The sequence below is a fragment of the Homo sapiens genome, chromosome 19, assembly GCF_000001405.40.
Source record: "Homo sapiens chromosome 19, GRCh38.p14 Primary Assembly".
NCBI lineage: Eukaryota > Metazoa > Chordata > Mammalia > Primates > Hominidae > Homo > Homo sapiens.
In genome coordinates, this window is record NC_000019.10 from 5,965,278 (window position 1) to 5,982,549 (window position 17,272).

At 50.5% G+C, this 17,272-nt stretch overlaps 1 protein-coding gene and 1 long non-coding RNA gene across 16 annotated transcripts in view, besides 4 other annotated features; one reads left to right on the plus strand and one right to left on the minus strand.

Moving 5' to 3' along the window:
- RANBP3 (RAN binding protein 3) overlaps positions 1–12,863 on the minus strand; it is a 62,002-nt gene extending 49,139 nt beyond the window's left edge. For 9 of the 15 annotated variants that reach the window (XM_047439570.1, XM_047439569.1, XM_011528394.2 and 6 more), the window contains exon 1: positions 12,784–12,863. In XM_047439570.1, coding sequence (XP_047295526.1) covers positions 12,784–12,805 — 22 coding nt within the window. In that variant the 5' untranslated portion in view covers positions 12,806–12,863. Of the gene's footprint in view, positions 1–9,072; positions 9,155–11,103 lie in introns of all 15 variants that reach the window. The other 6 variants (XM_047439577.1, XM_047439571.1, XM_047439576.1 and 3 more) reach the window with 2 other exon arrangements.
- Positions 2,701–2,995: an enhancer, noted in NCBI's record as "tiled region #310; K562 Activating non-DNase unmatched - State 25:Art". NCBI's record gives its function as "activates a minimal TATA promoter and a strong SV40 promoter by Sharpr-MPRA in K562 cells {active_cell/tissue: K562}" and the evidence as "EXISTENCE:reporter gene assay evidence [ECO:0000049][PMID:27701403]".
- Positions 12,647–12,756: a silencer, noted in NCBI's record as "silent region_9940". NCBI's record gives its function as "represses an Ori minimal core promoter by ATAC-STARR-seq in GM12878 lymphoblastoid cells {active_cell/tissue: GM12878}" and the evidence as "EXISTENCE:reporter gene assay evidence [ECO:0000049][PMID:35858748]".
- Positions 12,987–13,156: a silencer, noted in NCBI's record as "silent region_9941". NCBI's record gives its function as "represses an Ori minimal core promoter by ATAC-STARR-seq in GM12878 lymphoblastoid cells {active_cell/tissue: GM12878}" and the evidence as "EXISTENCE:reporter gene assay evidence [ECO:0000049][PMID:35858748]".
- The window catches only part of RANBP3-DT (RANBP3 divergent transcript), a 41,961-nt gene continuing 37,814 nt past the window's right edge, over positions 13,126–17,272 (plus strand). Inside the window, exon 1 of the long non-coding RNA NR_046376.1 lies at positions 13,126–13,237. This is a non-coding gene — a long non-coding RNA (RANBP3 divergent transcript). The remainder of the gene's footprint in view (positions 13,238–17,272) is intronic.
- Positions 13,207–13,256: a silencer, noted in NCBI's record as "silent region_9942". NCBI's record gives its function as "represses an Ori minimal core promoter by ATAC-STARR-seq in GM12878 lymphoblastoid cells {active_cell/tissue: GM12878}" and the evidence as "EXISTENCE:reporter gene assay evidence [ECO:0000049][PMID:35858748]".

Sequence of the window (17,272 nt, forward strand, 5' to 3'; positions counted from 1 at the left end):
CATCTTTATCTAGGGAAAGGGCCCAGATACTGCCTCTTCAAAGAGTAAGGAGGGTGAAAGGAGGAGGGCGGTTTCAACAGCCCACATGTGAGAGTTAAATAGCAGGCTTCCTGGTAGCACCTCTACAAGCAGCCTCCAGGGACCAGGACTCAAAAAGGTTTTATCTGTATTTTTTCTGCCAAGAGACTGACTGGTGGCAAAACTTTGATGACAAAATGAATTCTGTGTCTATTTCAGAGGCAGCAAGGAGGGGAGAGGGTGCTGTAGAGCCCCTTGGGACAGGGTGGGTGGTGGGGGCTTCCCAGACTTAAGGAAAGGAGTGAGGTCTCTGCAGCCTACTGCAAGCAAGGAAAGGAGAAAGCAAGGAGCTGGGCTGAACCCCAGCGGTGGCCCAGGGGAGAAAGGTGAGTTTCCCAACGCTCCAGGTGAAGAAGGGTTGTAGAATCCTGTTTTACCTCTTAGACTTATCTTAGTTTCTGCCATGATATGCACAGCAAAGGCATCCACAAATGGGGTCTCCCAGACGCGTGATGGTTTCATATACGTGGCCAGCGTTCTTCGAGCACTTCTTTATGTGTTAGGTTTTATCTGCATCATGTCACCTAATCTCCACAACCACCTTAGGAGGTGGCTTACACCAACATCCTTTCACAGGAAAGGAAACGGATAATCAGGTCAAGCGACCTGTCGGAGGTGGGCCCGGGTCTTCGGGCCAGGTGGGCCGACTCTGAAGCCCCGGCCCATGCTCCTGAGTGCCACGCTCCACTCCGCTGCTGGCCAAGAACTACGTGTGCAAAAGGGAGGAGTTACCTGGACTCCAGTTTGCTTCCTCTCACCTTTTCTGTGCAGGTAGGCCTCAGAGCTACAACACATACACTCTTCCCTTTAGAGAAATGACAGCAGGAATAAAGTAGCTGTCAGTTGCTGTTCTGGATAAGCACCTATGGAGGAGCACGAACCAAACTAGGGGGCTAGTCATGAGTTCCGGGGTCAGTGAAAGGCTTCCCACAGGTCACATGACCACCTGCCTCAGCCAACACAGTGTGTGATTATCCCAATGGCTGATCCCCGACAAGACTGCAATCCTTTAAGGTTGTCAAGACAAGGATCAAAGACACATTCCAAGGCACACACTCAATGGTGACACAAGCTGCTTTCTGTCTTCATCTGTCAAATGTTCGGCCCTGGAATGCTTTGCGTAATATATTCAGAATCTAAGCTGACAACACACACACTCTCGCCTCCGCCTCTCTCCTCTTCCGTATAAACTTTCTTTCCTCACTGCTGCAGAGAATAATTTACAAAGAAGCAAGGGCAGCCCTGCCTTACAGTAAGCTTTGCTTCCCCACCAGCCCATGGCTGTCTCCAGCCTGTCATGGAGGATCTCCCGCTAAAACTAAATAGAAGAAACTACGTAGGCCTGGGAAAACACATATAAGAGAGAATCTGGAATATCTTTGCTTTTTCTGTTTATTCGCCTCCTGACTGATGACTCCAATACCTGCCAAGAAAATGCCCTCATCTAGAAAGCAATTGAGAACTCCTGACCAAACTGTCAGCAAGGTACTTGCATAAAATTAGCTTTAATCCTGGGCTGATATGTCTTAATCTTCTTACCTGTGAAAAAAATATGGAAAGCATCTCGCCAACACAAATAACAGTCTATTAAAATGTGGCAACTCCTGTAATCTGGTGACACGATCACAACCCTTCAAGTCATTTATTTTTTCAGAAATTATTATAAACAGTTCTGTGCCACAGCACAAAGGTAAATCTGTCACTGACGTGTCAGGTCTGTCCTCCAACTGATTCTTTGGTACGGAATGGAACTGATCTCAAACATGCAGTTGCTAGGTGATGCCTCTGCGGATCTCCGTGTATAGCATGCTCGGGTTCTCCAGCCCAGCTAGTGGAAGGCGGTGGGACCCTGGATGACTCCGTTCTTTTCTCAATACTCGAATATATTTCTATAACTTTCAACTGGTCTCATGGAGATTATGGGGACACACTTTTTGGAGCTGATGATATCCTACATTTTATGTACTTCTTTCTGGAATGCTCATCATCTTGGCATTACCTTCAACTACCGAACTCCAAGCCAACTTCCAACCACTCTCATCTCACCACCAGATACTTACACTTCCAACAAGCATTGCAGGGGCAACAGGCATTTGTTAAAAGGCCTTTACTGGACTCCGAGGTAGGTACTTTACATATCTAGTCTCATTCATCATAGACGCATCCCCATGACATCCTCCTCATATCCCACTCCACCCCATGAGGGCCAAGCCACATTCTGCCTTCTTTATTTCTACCTTTATCAGCCCTGCAGCCAAACCCTTCTAAGCTTCCACTCCTGCGCCACCCAGACCGTAAGCCCCGGGGGGCAGAACTTGCACTTCTGAACAGAAACCCCATAAAGTTATACAAAGTCAGCAACTCTGCCTACAACTGTATGGATGGCTGGGTTCAGTGGCTCATGCCTGTAATCCCAGCACGTTGGGAGGCCGAGGCATGTGGATCACTTGAGGAAAGGAGTTTGAGACCAGCCTGGGCAACATGGTGAAATCGTGTCTCTACCCAAAATACAAAAATTAGCTGGGCCTGGTGGGATATGTAATCCCAGCTACTCGGGAGGCTGAGACCCAAGCATCACTTGAACCCAGGAGGTGGAGGTTGCAGTGAGCTGAGATAGCACCACTGCACTCCAGCCTGGGCGACAGAGTGAGACTCTGTCTCCAAAAAAAAAGAAAAGAAAGAAAAAAGAAAAAACTGCGTGGAGAGATGGAGGATCCAGCTTTAACGGCACTTTTCTGTTCCGCCACTAGGTGGTGTGACACCAACACAGCTGAGGCAACATGCAAGTGGCTGAAGACTCGGGAAAGTTCCAGTAGAGACAACAGGAATCCCCTCCTCTCTACACGGAAGCTTACAGGAAGGAAATCCAAGAACTACAGAATTTATGCTGAGGCAGCAGAGCAAAACTGATGATACTGGAGAGCGCGGGCTCTGGTCTTTGTGTGTGTTCAAACCTGCCCTGGCCACTTACTTGCGGTTGGGATCCCAGATAAGACAATGTACCTCTGGCACAATGTCTTCATTTGCATATCAGGGCTGTTATTTCACCCCAGGCAGCTTCGGCAAGGATGAAATGAAATGCTGCACATGCCGTGTTTGGGGAAGTGGTTGGCACACAGGATGATTCCACACTGGCACTGGTAGCATTATTATGCTCGGAAGATTGCAAACATATTGATGCCACCTTAAAGCATAGGCCTTGGATTCAAGGACAGCTGCCAGTGCCCGGCAACGACAAATGCGTCAGAGTCTGACCCCTTTTAGGGGGTGGAATGGTTGGATCCAAGAGCTGCCTGGACGCCTGGGACACTCAAGGCAAACGCTCAGGTGCTCGGAATGCCTGAGCCCTTCTGAGGTCACAGGAAACAGGTGGGATCTGAAGGCAGGCCGAGCCGAGCAGCCAAGCCTTGCTCTCACCAGCAGGATCTACCAAGCACAGACTTGTGCTAGGCACCGAGCTTGCCACTGGAGACAGGAAAGAAATGGCAGACAAGGCCGCAGCTCTCTACTGGGAAAGAGAAAACAAACAAGTACCTGCTGTGTGCAGAGATAACTGGGTAGTTCTGGAGCTGGGTGCTGCAGAGAAAATACCACAGGATGGTGGGAGAGAGTGAGTGAATGGGTAAGGCCTCGCTGAAGCTCACACATGAAGGGTGAGCAGGGATGAGCCAGGTGAAGGCAGGGGATCCCAGGCAGAGGGGACCCCAAGTCAAAGGTTCTAAGGAAAGGAAGAGCCTGGAGGCCCATGTTTGGAGGGGAGGAGAACGGGAAGGGCTGGGTGGAGCCCACAGGACGTTCAGCCTTGCAGGCCATGCTGACAAATCTGGATTTATCCAGTGTAAAGGTTGGGGCCCAGGCTCTGGACTCTTAGGACCCAGTGGCCATCACCATCAATGCTGCAAAACATCCTCTCTCCTCTGAGCAGAGGGTAACTGCCTGTTTTCTCACCCTCTCCCCCAGAGAAAGGCAAGTTCTCAAGGACCGTTTCCACTCACGCTCTGCTCTCACAGATGCAACGCAGGAATTAATTCTGGGTAAATAAGTTCCCAAAATTCTCTGTGGCAAACCTGGGGGAGTTTAATTTAGCAAAGGCATTTTAAACTTACTGCAAAAGGCAAGGCCTGCCTTCTAAACATGTGTATGGAGTAACTACTACTGTCTCTAGAATTTCCTCCCTTTCTTTGAACACCATAAACAGCGACAGCGAAATGCAGTGCCCTACGCGGGTCAGTTTTCAGGGGTGAACGAGTGCCCATTACCTAGAGTTTACTGACTCACCGGGAAGGACAAGCATGAACTCCTAGACTCCATGGCTGGAGACAGGCGCACTGGCCCTAGCCAGCCCTACCTGCTTCCATGGCCTCGGGCTTCAGCCCCTGTGAAATGGTGCAGCCAGGACTCAGGCATCCCTGAAGGTTCTTCCCAGCCCTTACATTCTGTCAGGTCCTCACCCTGGACCAGAGGCAGTGTTAAAGGTCAAGGAAAAGACTGTTCTTCCTGAAGAGGGATATGATGTCCATTGAGGCCTACTCAGCTGCCAAAAGGCCAGAATAGAAAAATAAGGTTGGGAGGAAGGGCCTTAAACTCTAGCTGGCAATTAATTTATTCCTGGGTAGGTTCCTTTGATCCTATGACCAGTGGTTCTCACCCAGGAGTAACTTCATCTCCCTGGAGACACTGGTCAAAATCTGGAGACATTGTGACTGTCATGTTTGTGGGGGTGTGGAGGAAACTGTTACAGACATCTAGTGGATGGAGACCAGGGATGCTGACCAACATCCTAGGAGGCTCAGAACAGTGCCCTACCAGCAAGTGACCCAAGTCCAAATGTCAACTGAGCTGAGGGCAAGAAACCTTGCATTAATCTTGGGCAAAAAAATTGAGCTGGATCTCTAACTCACATTATACACCAAAATAAATCCCCAATAGATTAGATGGCACAAACCAGGGTGACCCCCCACCCTGGCTTCTGGGATTCACCGCCTCTCTCCCTCCCCACTCAGACTGTGGCTTTAAATGTGTACAGGCTCCTACGACCTCAGTAGGTTAGATAACTATGGAACACAAAGTCTCTTGGGTGTCAATGAAATCCCATAACCCAATGGTTCTCAAGTGGGGGCAATTCTGACATTAAGGGGACACTGGACAGTGTCTGGAGACCTTTTATCTTCTCATGACTGGGAGTGGATGGGTGGGATGACTGGGTGCTATGGCATCACATGAGTAGAGGCTAGAGGGGCTACCCAACATCCTCCAAAGCACAAGATGGCCACCACCAGCCCCAATGTCAAGAATACTGAGGTGGAAAAACCCTGGTATAACTCACAGGGTGCTTTCTCTCTACTCAGGCATCCAATTAGGAGAATCACAGCTAGAAGTAACTGACATGTATCTCCACATTCCAGTAGGTCAATTACCAGAAGTATATTCTCTCTCACACCACAATCCTCAGACTTGCGTATCATCGTTCCCATTTTACAGATGCAAGAGCTAAGGTCAGACAACTTGCCCATGTTTCTAGGGCAGAAGGCAAGACACAAACCAAGGACAGCCAATCCAGGTGCTTCCAACCATGCCACAAGTTGCCAATGGGAACCTGCTGGTCAGCTCTGGTTTAGAATTCTCCCGATGTTGGCAAGGCAGCGGAGAAACCCACACTGTACACTGAGGCTCTGCTAGCACATGCCAGTGGTTCTCAAATTTCCTGGTCTCGGGACCCTTTTCCACGCTTGTCAATGACTGAACATCCCCAAGAGCTTTTGGAAATGTGGGATGTAGCTACTACTGACACCATATTAGAAATGAAACCTAAGACAATTTCAAAATACTTAAGATTATAATAAACTCCAGAAAGGTTTAGTTAAATAACATATTTTTATGAAAAATAAGTATTTAAAAAAATCTGAGAAGAGTGGCATTATTTTACATTTTGACAAATGTCTTTAACGTCTGACTTAATAGAAGATAGCTGAATTCTCTCTCTTTTTTTTTTATTAAAGAGAGGGGCTTTGTTGCCCAGGCTGGCTTTGAACTCCTGGGCTCAAGAGATCCTCCCACCTCAGCCTCCCAAGTAGCTGGGACTGCAGGTGTTTGCCACTGTGCCCGGCCTGAATTCTCTTATCTGCTTCTATAGTTCATCTGTTGGCATATCACACATCCAATAACCTCTGGAAAAAAACTCCACTGTCCATTTTCAAGTGAATAAGAGTGAAAAAAGAGCAGATAGTGTCTTTGTGTTGTTATGAAATAGTTTTGAACTTGCAGTCCCCTTGAAAAGGTCTTGGGGACTGCAGGGCCCCGGACCATCTTTGAGAACTGCTGCCATATGCTATCTGAGTTCTAGCATTCCAAGGACACTAAATCCTAAATTACAGACCATGAGGTGCTTTATGCTAAGGTTCTAGCTAAAGAGCACTCTAAGTGTAGAGAATGCAGAGTCTAGGAGTCTGTATAATAGGATTGAAACCCAAATACCAACCAAGGTCACAGGCACTGGAAGAGAAGGAAGTGGGCTAGGCCCCAAGTAACATGGCGGAGACCACAATATCCAATCTAATCTATCCACAGGCGCAGCTGTTCCTTAGCACTGAAAAATCACTGCTGTGCAAGAATGCAGGCCAAGGGTGGTTGCTGTTTTCTGAGAGAAATCAGAAATACAATTTTTTTCCCCTCTGAAATCTCAGAATTTTAAGTGTTGGCTCCTAATTACAAACAAAAACCTAAATGGGCCAAATTAAATATGTCTGCTTGCCCTTCAGGCAAGTTTGCAACTTCTGCCTGTGGTTTTCAACTCTGGCTTCATGTTGTTAAACATCTGTGGAGCTCTTTAAAACCACAGACACCCTAGAACTCCTGGAACCATCTCCAATGGTGCAGCCCAGGCAGCAGTTTTGATTTTCCCTGACAACCTCCTTAAACAAGTGTGAAGCCCATCCAGGGCTGAGATCCATAGCTAGTGCTGTGTGGCAGCTCTAAGTGCCAAGACTACTGAGGAGGAAGCAAACTGTGGACATGTGGAAGGTGGTGGTGAGGAGCTTTACCCTGATGTCCCAGGCCACGTTATTCTCTACTGCGTAGGGCAGAGTCAAACAGAACACCGCTCCACCAGGACCCCCTAAAACAAAGAAAACATCACCACCAGACCCTGAATAGATAATGATGCAAGCCCAACTGCCTCACGATTGCTTCAAAGTACCATGGAGAGCTACCAAATGCCCAGCCAAGCCAATACCAGCCATCTCGGCAGTTTTGTGGTCCTCTGGTAAGTTTTGAGGAACGGCGCTCTCTTCTCAGATTCCCCAAATGCATCTCAACTTTCCCCAAATGGCCTTCGTCTCCCACTACACCCAGGCCTATTCACTGTCTGAACTCACGTAGGAGGGCAGAATTCAACCCCCCTTCTCCACCCCAAGCTCCTCCAAATGCCACTCGAAGCTCACCCCATTCCTGCTGCTTCTGCTCACTCTGACCACCTCAGAGGAGGAGCACACACCAGACCCAGGTTGACCCTAACACCTAATGAATGCACGAGGGTGCCGGGAAAATCCCATTTTCTGGTAAACGGAGAGGCAGGCTGAAGGCTTGTTTGAAACATTTTGCAGAAGCCCAGTGAGGGCTTTTCTGTCTATACGCAGGATCCTGGGCAAAATGGAAAGTCTCTTCAAAGAGTATAAAGATTTTGCAGCCTGGATACCCCTTGGGTACCATCAGGCCCCTTCTGCTACAGATACAGGAGGCACAGTGGAGGTGAAAGCACACATTCTGCTCTAAGCAAAAATCCCAGAATTAGTTTTTATAATAAATTCACGAGAAACTTTCCAAAAGTTGTTTAAGATAGGTTCCAACTATTTCAGTTCTAGCTAACCAATAAAAATTCAGTTGCATCTCACCCTCTCAGGGGCTAGGTTTTAAGTCAACAAGGTGCAAGCTGAGAGAAGCCAAACCACCCTCAAAAATCTCTCGACTCATACCTGGTCAGGCTTTTAAATCAGTAGTTCTCAACTGAAAGCAACTCTGCCCCCGGGGGGACACTGGGACGGAGACATTTCCACTGTCATGACTGGCGGGGATGAGGAGGGGGATGTGCTATTAGCATTTAGTGGGGTAGAGGCCAGGGATCCTCATTAAGATCCTACAGTGCACAGCGCAATCGCCCACAACAGAGAATTACCTGGCCCCAGATGTCTGTAGTGCTCAGGCTGGGATCCCTGAGATCACTAAGTGACAGGCAGGACAGAACTTAGGAGGACCCAGAGCCCAGGCCCTGCTGGTCTTCTGCCAGGGGCTCAGCCCAGGGCCAACTCTGAGTGGGGCAGGTTCACCCACACAATGGAGACTTTGCTGAACCCTTCAGCTGAATGTGTCCAGAGCAGAGTGCACTGTAGTAAAAACAGTGACCTGAGTGTTTATTACTATGAGCAGAGACTGGTGCTAAACAATGTATGTGCACTCATTCCTTCAATGCTCACAGCAACCACGAGGTGGGTGTGGTTACCATTATTCCCATTTTATTGGTGTGGAAACGGGGGGCTCAAAGAGGTTAAGAAATTTGCCCCAAATGACTCAGAGTGGACAGCGGAGTTAAAACACAAACCCAGCTCTCTGAGGACCAAAGCCTGTGTCCCCACCATCGATACCAGTGAGTCTCTCACCTGGGGGCGATTCTGCAGCCTCCCCACCCCCACTCCCCAGGGGCTGTGTCAGGAGACTTCTTCTGTTGTCATGACGACCCCGCGAGTGAGGGGAGGTGTGTGCTACTGGCATCTAGTGAGTAGGTCCAAGGATGCTACCGTGCTGCTAAGGATCCTGCAACGCACAGGACAGCCCCTCCCGCCAAAGAGAGCCATCAAAACGTCAACTGCACCACACAAAGGTGAGAGCCCTGCTTCACACTGTCTCCCGGGTTTCCACCACGCATGTCCACAGGCCAACAGGGCCTTTCATGTCAGGATCTAGAATCCAAGATTCCCTGGAGTTCAAATGTGCTTTGCTCACCCTCTTTCCAGTCTTCTTTACCTTTGCCAGGGACAAAACTCTGCCTTCAAATCCTGATGTCAGCCTACAATGCAGCATAACCCTAGAGACAGGATGAGTAATGAGTCTGGGAGGTATCAATGGGGAAATGCCAAGCAGGGGAGACTTATCCCTGGATGCAAGGGTGAAACATGCACACACACTGTCTGAGAGGAAAAGCACTCAGGTGGACTTTAAAAGTCCCAGACCACAGGAAGGGCTGTGAGAGTTGCTGTCACCATCCATGAGGCGTTCACCATGGTGACGAGGGCCAACAAGATGCTTTACACAACAGAAAACATTTCCTCGTATACAAGCAGAGGACACCTACCCTCTACTACTCAAACCAGCGGGTCTCAACCCTGCCTGCACATGAGAATCACCTGTGCTGCCACCTGTACAGAGGCCCAGAACCCACCCAACACCAGAGAGAATCGGAATCTGCAGGGCGTGGCGACTGAGCATCTGCGGTTTCAGGAAAGTTCCCCAGGGGGTACTGATGCCCAGCCGGGTGGACAGCCGCTGCTCAGCCTGACACAGAGGTGGGACTGGCCCAGAGAAGAGAGATGGCAAATGGATGGAGGAGGGACTGGGTGTGAGGGTGGAGCAACTTATGATCTCAGTCTGGAAAGGCAGAAGCCAAGAGGGCATTTGACTAGAGCTTAAACAGCAAGAACAAACACGTGACCATGGGGCAGCCCCTAAAGCTTCAAAAGGCACAGGCAAGGAGGCCCCACTTTACACAGTGAATAACAAATTAAACATCCTGGCAGGCTGTACAAGCCAAAACCAGAAATGGAGTGTTCAAGAAACACACAATGACTGATTGAAGGACGGCAGGGATATATGAGGCACAAAGTCCACCAAGATTTGATTTCCTGAGGACAGTTATCCCAGAACTAGCGTCAGGGACAACGTGCTAGGTGAGTGTGGCACTTACTAGGGAAAAAAAGTGAAGTTCAAAACATTCCATTTCTCTCTTTGGCCCTTACCAGTTCAACTATCCCATTTACAACCAATAGCTCATGTGGACAGCATATGCTAGAAACAGTATCCCCTGGAAAAGGGCAAGCCATAATTTCCCCTTTGTGCTCAAATGTATTCCTCACAACAGGGTCCTCACTGGTGAATTCATTCATTCATGCATTCATTCATTCAACCAATATTTCCTGTGTACCTACTCTGTGCCAGGCACCGTTCTAGATGCAAGGGGGCAATCAGTGATCATAACATAAAAATCCCTGACCTCATGGAGCTTACATGGGGCAAACATGCATGTAATATCTAGCATGCCGGATTGTTAAGAGCTATACAGGAAAATCAAGCAGGGTGAACGGAATAGAGAACATGGATTTAATTTGAAATAGGTGGCCAGAGAAGCTCTCATTAATAAAGTAACATATATGAGTAAAAACCAGAAGAAGTGAGCCATGGGGGTATCTGGGGGAAAACTGTTTCAGTTAGAGGAATCAGCAGGAGAAAAGGCTAAAAGCGGGGAGTGTATGCAACATTCAAGGAAAACTGAAAAAGCCAGAGTAGTTAGCACAGAGCAAGGCAGCAGAGAGTGGCGAGAGAGAAGGACAGGGACATATTGGGGCCCACTATGGGCTGAGAAGTTCTCAGATGGGTAAGGGTGGAGGGAACGGGGGCTAAGCATTGACGGTGTTGGTGGGGAGAAGTGGTGGTCCCCCTTTGGGAATAATTTTAAGGTAGAAATGATAGTATTTGCTGTGCAGTATGAGAAAGAGGGAAACCAGGGGTGACTTCAAGGTTTGGGGCCAGAAGAATTCAAAGAATGGACCTGCCTAACTAACTACAATGGGTGAAAGACCATGGGATGGGCAGGTGTAGTGGGGGAGATAAGGATTTTGTTTTGGAAACGCTCTAGACTTACCTATGACACATCCAAATGGAGATGTCGAAATGTGATGCTGGACATGAGTCCTGAGTTCAAGAAGCTATGTGGGCTCAGGATGTAAATACATAAAATATGTCATACTGATTCCCACTTACCCAGTCCCTCTGTAACTAGATCTCATGAGTTGGAATGCTGCAACCCTCCATGGGCTCCTTTATCTTAAAAAAAGAGATGTAGCAGCCGGGTGCGGTGGCTCACGCCTGTAATCCCAGCACTTTGGGAGGCCGAGGCGGGCAGATCACGAGGTCAGGAGATGGAGACCATCCTGGCCAACATGGTGAAACCCCGTCTGTACTAAAAACACAAAAATTAGCTGGGTGTGGTGGTGCGCGCCTGTAATCCCAGCTACTCGGGAGGCTGAGGCAGGAGAATCACCTGAACCCGGGAGGCGGAGATTGCAGTGAGCCGAGATGGCGCCACTGCACTCCAGCCTGGCTACAGAGCTAGACTCCGTCCCAAAAAATAAAATAGAATAAAATGGCCAAGAATCAGGGAGAGAACCTGTGCTGCTGCCTGTACAGATGCCCAGCGCCCGCCCAACACCACACAGAATCAGAATCTGCAGGGACTGAGCACCCGTGGTCTGGCATCTGAAGCCAGGCCATCTTGGTTCACATCCCTGCTCCTTCCCAGCTGTGTGACACGCCTTGGATAAGCGACTTAACCACGTTGACTCAGTCTCCTCATCAAGTGAATGGGGCTAACAGTATCTATACCTCCTACCAGGGAAAACAGTATGTCAAGACTTTGCACCACACCTGGTAACTACCCTAAATGCTCCACAAGACCAAGCACTTCCTATCATCATTCATTCATTACTGCAATTCGGTAGGGAAAACCCTCCAGTCACAGGGAGCACCGAATGGGGGAATCAGAGCCAGACAGGTAGAGAGCTTGCCTGCATTTGTGCAACTAGAAAAGGGGGGGAGCTAAAAATAGGCCTCAGAAGTCTTGAAGCTACAGCGATGGCAACACGACTATGGATGGAAGCAGACATCAGCCTTATGGTGCCTTCTCGGGGGATCTGGAAGTGTAACCTTGTCAAAAACACTCAGGTGGGCTGTCAGCGCTCCACAGAGGAGGGACTCGCACGGTCTCTTGTCTGGAAGTGCAGCAAAAAGGGCCAAAGAGCAGCCAGGGTTTTCGGCGGCCCAGATCCTGCGGCGGGGCCTAAATGAGGGGGAGACGAAGCGCCCCGAAGGATCCGGGGGGAACTGGCGGGAAGTGGGGGCCGAAGTTCGGGGCGGGGACGGGGTGAAAACGGCCTGGGCTTCCTCCGTCCGCGGTGTGCGGCTGGCCCGCGGAGGACGAGGGCCTCACGGGCTTAGGAGATAGGCAGCCAGGCCGGGGAAGGGGAGATGCCGGGTGGCGGAGGACGAGGGGGCGGGGAGGGAGCGTGGCGCGCTCCGGGCCACAACCAGGCCCTAAGGTCTATTTACATCCGTGGCCGAAGCACTGGGGCCGCGCCTCCCGCCCCCTTCAGCCCCGAGCTTGGCTGCGACGCAGAGGGGCCTTAGGGCTGCGATCCCGATGGCCACCCGGCTCCTCTAGCCAGACGGCTGCAGTGGCTGGGGTTGCCGGGAGTGATGGGCCGGGCCGGTGAGCCCGGCCTGAGGGGACGCAATAGGGGGCGGCTGCAAGGCCCGCCACGGCGCTAGCCTGGAGCGGACGAAACCCTTGCACTCTGCGGTGCTCCCCCCAAGGGCTTGTGGCCCCTAGTCCTCCCGCCGCCCGTTCCCCGGCCGCCAGCCGGTCCCCAACGGCGCCTCCCCTACCTTCGTTCGCCAGGTCCGCCATTTTACTTCCTTAAGCCCTCCCACAAGGCCCCGCGCCGGCCCAGGCTCGCCTGCTTTCTGCCAGAAACTCCCGCGCGTGCGCACTTAACAAGCCGACTCCGTGTGAGGCGGCCAGCTCGCGCCTGCGCGCTGAATGCCGCGCGGAGGCGAGCCCCGGATCGCCTGCCCTGCAGAGCAGCCTGCCCTGACGAGCCGCGCTCCTAGCACGCACCTGCGCACGAGCCATCTCCCGCCTCCTTTTCCCGCCGACTGAGAGGGCGGGGAAAGGGCCGGGAAGGGCGCATGCGCAGTGGCAGCGACTAAGGTTTAGTGAGGCGGCACCGCGCGGCCCGAGGCGGGTCTTGAAGCACTCGTTTTCCCACTCGTTTTCCGGGGTTCCCCCGCGGTGGGACAGTGAGCAGTTCAGGGCGCCGCAGCCGAGGCCTTCCTCCAGGTAAATCGCCGGGCCTGCGGGGGCTTCCCACACGCGCGGGCGGGAGACGCGTTGCCTCCTACCTCAGTTTACCCGCCTTAGGAGCCGGTACCTTCGGCAAACGCTTTCCTGAAACCACGGGGGAAGTGGCGAGAGGGCGCGGGGTGCTTGGGATTGGGGGGTAAATCAGAGCTCATCGGCGGGGGCGGGGGTCGTGGTCAGGCTCTAGGAGGGGGCGCAGCCCTGGGACCCAGGTGCTGGCGTTGGGGGCGGGGGGAGCCGGCGCGAGGGACTCGACCCCTCGGAGCTACGAGAATCAACTTCACAAGCTCATGGGAGGGGAACCGCGCGCCTCCAGGTTACCCATCTGTAAAATGGGACCATCAGCCTCACTCACAAGGCTCATGGGAGGGTCCTGGACACCCTGGAGTTGTTCTCTACTCACCTGCTATGAATCTCTCAGCAAATCCTTCGGACTTGGCCTTGCCTCCAAAATACAGCCCAGAGCCACCCATTGTCACCCCCAGGCTGTCACCACCCTAGGCCACATCGTCCGTATCTATCTCATGGAAGACTTGGACAGCGGCCTCTCTGCTATCCTTTGCTGCATTCTTTTGAAGCCCCAGGCTTGGTTCTGCACATGGCCGCAGGCTGAGGAGTCTTTGAAAAATATAATCAGCCAGACGCGGTAGCTCACCCCTGGAATCCCAGCACTGCGGGAGGCCAAGGTGGGAGGATCGCTTGAGCTCAGTTCAAAACCAGCCTAGGCAACAGAGCAAGACCCCATCTCTACAAAAACACAAAAATTACCCGGATGTGGTGGTGCAAGCCTGTGGTCCCAGCTACTTGGGAGGCTGAGGCAGGAGGATCACTTGAGCCCAGGAGGTTGAGGCTGCAGTGAGCTGTGACAGTGCCACTGCCACCATCCTAGGGACACAGCAAGAACCTCCCCCATATATATACACATATATACTTTGTTTTTATCTATATATATACACACAGATATATACATACACGTGTGCATATATATGTGTGTGTGTGTATATATATATATATACACATAGACTGAAAATGGAAATATCAAGGCCACTCAGTGCTTCCAGAGGGCTCTCAGCTGAACTTGGAATATCCTAAACCTTGTATTCAGGTTTATGAAGTCCCCTGAACTTGGCTCCCATGCCCTGCTTTGTTCCCCCTTGCTCATTGCTGTTCAGCCGCGTGGGTCTTTCCATCCTTGGAGCACAAGCTCATTCCAACCTAAGGGTCTTTGCACTTGGTCGTCTCTCTGCCTGGGACCTTGTGTTTCAGGTCTTACCTAGGTTGGAGTCCCAGCTCTGCACCTTTTTGAGTATGATCTAAAAGAGAGCGAGGAGTACTACAATCTGTGGGCCAGATATAGTCTATGAGCTAAAAATGGTTCCTCCCTCCCTCCCCTTGTTCCCTCCCTCCCTTTCCTTCCCTTCCCTTTCTTTTATTTATTTTGGAATCTAACTCTGTTGCCCACGCTGGAGTGCAGTGGTACAATTTCGACTCACTACAACCTCCGCCTCCCGGGTTGAAGTGATTCTCCTGCCTCAGCCTTCTGAGTAGCTGGCATTACAGCTGTGTACTACTATACCCAGCTAGTTTTTGTGTTTTTTTGTGGAGACAGGGTTTCACCATGTTGGCCAGGCTGCTCTCGAACTTCTGACCTCAGGTGCTCTGCCCACCTTGGCTTCCCAAAGTGCTGGGATTACAGGCATGAGCCACCGCGCCTGCCGATTTTTTTACATTTTTAGCTGGTTGGGAAAAAAAATACCAAAAGAAGAATATCTATTGATGTGAAAATGGTGTGAAATTTACATTTCAGTGTCTGTAAATAAAGTTTTATTTGAAAACAGCCAATGCTTACTCATTTATATATTGTCTCTGGCTACTTTTGAGCTGTGACATTAGAGCTAATTTTTTTTTTTAACAGAAACTTTTTGGCCAACAAAACTTAAAGCATTTACTGTTTGTGTCTTTACAGAAAAAGTTTGCCAGTTCCTAATCCAGGACACATGTATTTACATGGTTGTTAAACTTTTCTGAACAGCCAGTGGGATGTGGTAAATATTTAACAGCAGCTTCTCTGGAAGAGAATGTATTCGTTAGTATGTATTTATGTGTGTGTATATAGTTTATTGTAAATTTTACTTATTTTTCTATCACTTTCTTAAGACCACAAGACAATTAATAAAACAAATTGAACCCTGTTTTGTAGCGTCTGCTGATTTTCTGGGTGTGAATCCTTCAGCCATGGCCTATATTGTTACTAATGGGATGTCACTAGCACCAGAGTTGGGAGGACATGCGCAGTAGTAGCACACCAGATTCTTTTTTTTTTTTTTTTTTTTCTTTTGAGGCAGAGTCTCGCTTTGTTGCCCAGGCTGGAGTGCAGTGGCGCGATCTCAGCTCACTGCAACCTCTGCCTCCCGGGTTCAAGCGATTCTCCTGCCTTAGCGTCCCCAGTAGCTGGGATTACAGGCGCTCACCACCATGCCTGGCTAATCTTTGTATTTTCAGTAGAGACTGGGTTTCACCATGTTGGCCAGGCTGGTTTCGAACTCCTGACCTCAAGTGATCCACCCACCTCGACCTCCCAAAGTGTTGGGATTACAGGTGTGAGCCACTGTGCCCGGCCACACACCAGATTTTTTTCAAGAACCTGACTTTCAGCCGGGCGCGGTGGCTCACGCCTGTAATCCCAGCACTTTGTGAGGCTGAGGCAGGTGGATCACGAGATCAGGAGTTCAAAATCAGCCTGGCCAGCACAGTGAAGCCCCGTCTCTACTAAAAATACAAAAAATTAGCCGGGTGTGGTGGCAGGCGCCTGCAATCCAGCTACTCGGGAGGCTGAGGCAGGAGAATCACTCGAACCCGAGAGGTGGAGGTTTCAGCGAGCTGAGATCGCACCACTGCACTCCAGCCTGGGCAACAGATGAGACTCTGTCTCAACAACAACAACAACAACAAAAACCTGCTACTTTCTCAGTGTGTCCCCACACCAGCAGCATCAGCATGACCTGGAAGCTTATTAGAAATACACAATCTGGGCTGGGTGCGGTAGCTCACGCCTGTAATCCCAGGACTTTGGGAGGCCAAGGCGGGTGAATACTTGAGGTCAGGAGTTCAAGACCAGCCTGACCAACATGGTGAAACCCCGTCTGTACTAAAAAAATAAGAAATTAGCCAGGTGTGGTGGTACACGTCTGTAATCCCAGCTACTTGGGAGACTGAGGCAGGAGAATTGCTTGAACCCAGGAGGCGGAGGTTGCAGTGAGCCAAGATCACACCATTGCACTCCAGCCTGGGCGACAGAGTGAGACTGTCTCAAAAAAAAAAAAAAAAAAAATACACAATATGGCCAGGCGTGGTGGCTTACACCTGTAATCCCATCACTTTGGGAGGCTGAAGTGGGCAGATTGCTTGAGCCCAGGAGTTCAAGACCAGTCTGGGCAACATGGTGAGATCCTGTCTCTGCAAAAAATTAGCTAGTTGTGGTGGTGTTCACGTGTAGTCCCCAGCTACTCAGGAGGATGAAGTGGGAGGATGGCTTGAGCCCAGGCGTTGCAGGCTGCAGTGAGGTAGGATGGCACGACTGCACTCCAGGCTGGGCTACGGATTGTGACCTTGTCTCTAAAGAAAACGGTTAATTTGAAACTTCACACCTGTAATCCCAGCACTTCGGGAGGCTGAGGCAGGCAGATCACATGAGCCCAGGAGTTCAAGACCAGCCTGAGTGGGCAACATGGCAAAACCCTGTCTCTGCCAAAAATAGAAAAAATTAGCCAGGCGTGGTGGCACACACCTGTAGTCCCAGCTACTCAGGAGGCTGAGGTGGGAGGATTGCTTGAGTGCGGGAGACGGTGGCTGGAGTGAGCTGAGATCACGCCGCTGCATTCCAGCCTGGGCAACAGAGTGAGACTGCGTCTCGAAAAAAACCAAAGAAAGAAATTCTCTAAGAGTAGCTCGAATGTCAGTCCCCCTGGTCACCCACAGTGTGTAGAATTCAGGTCATCTGTCATTCCTGGGGTG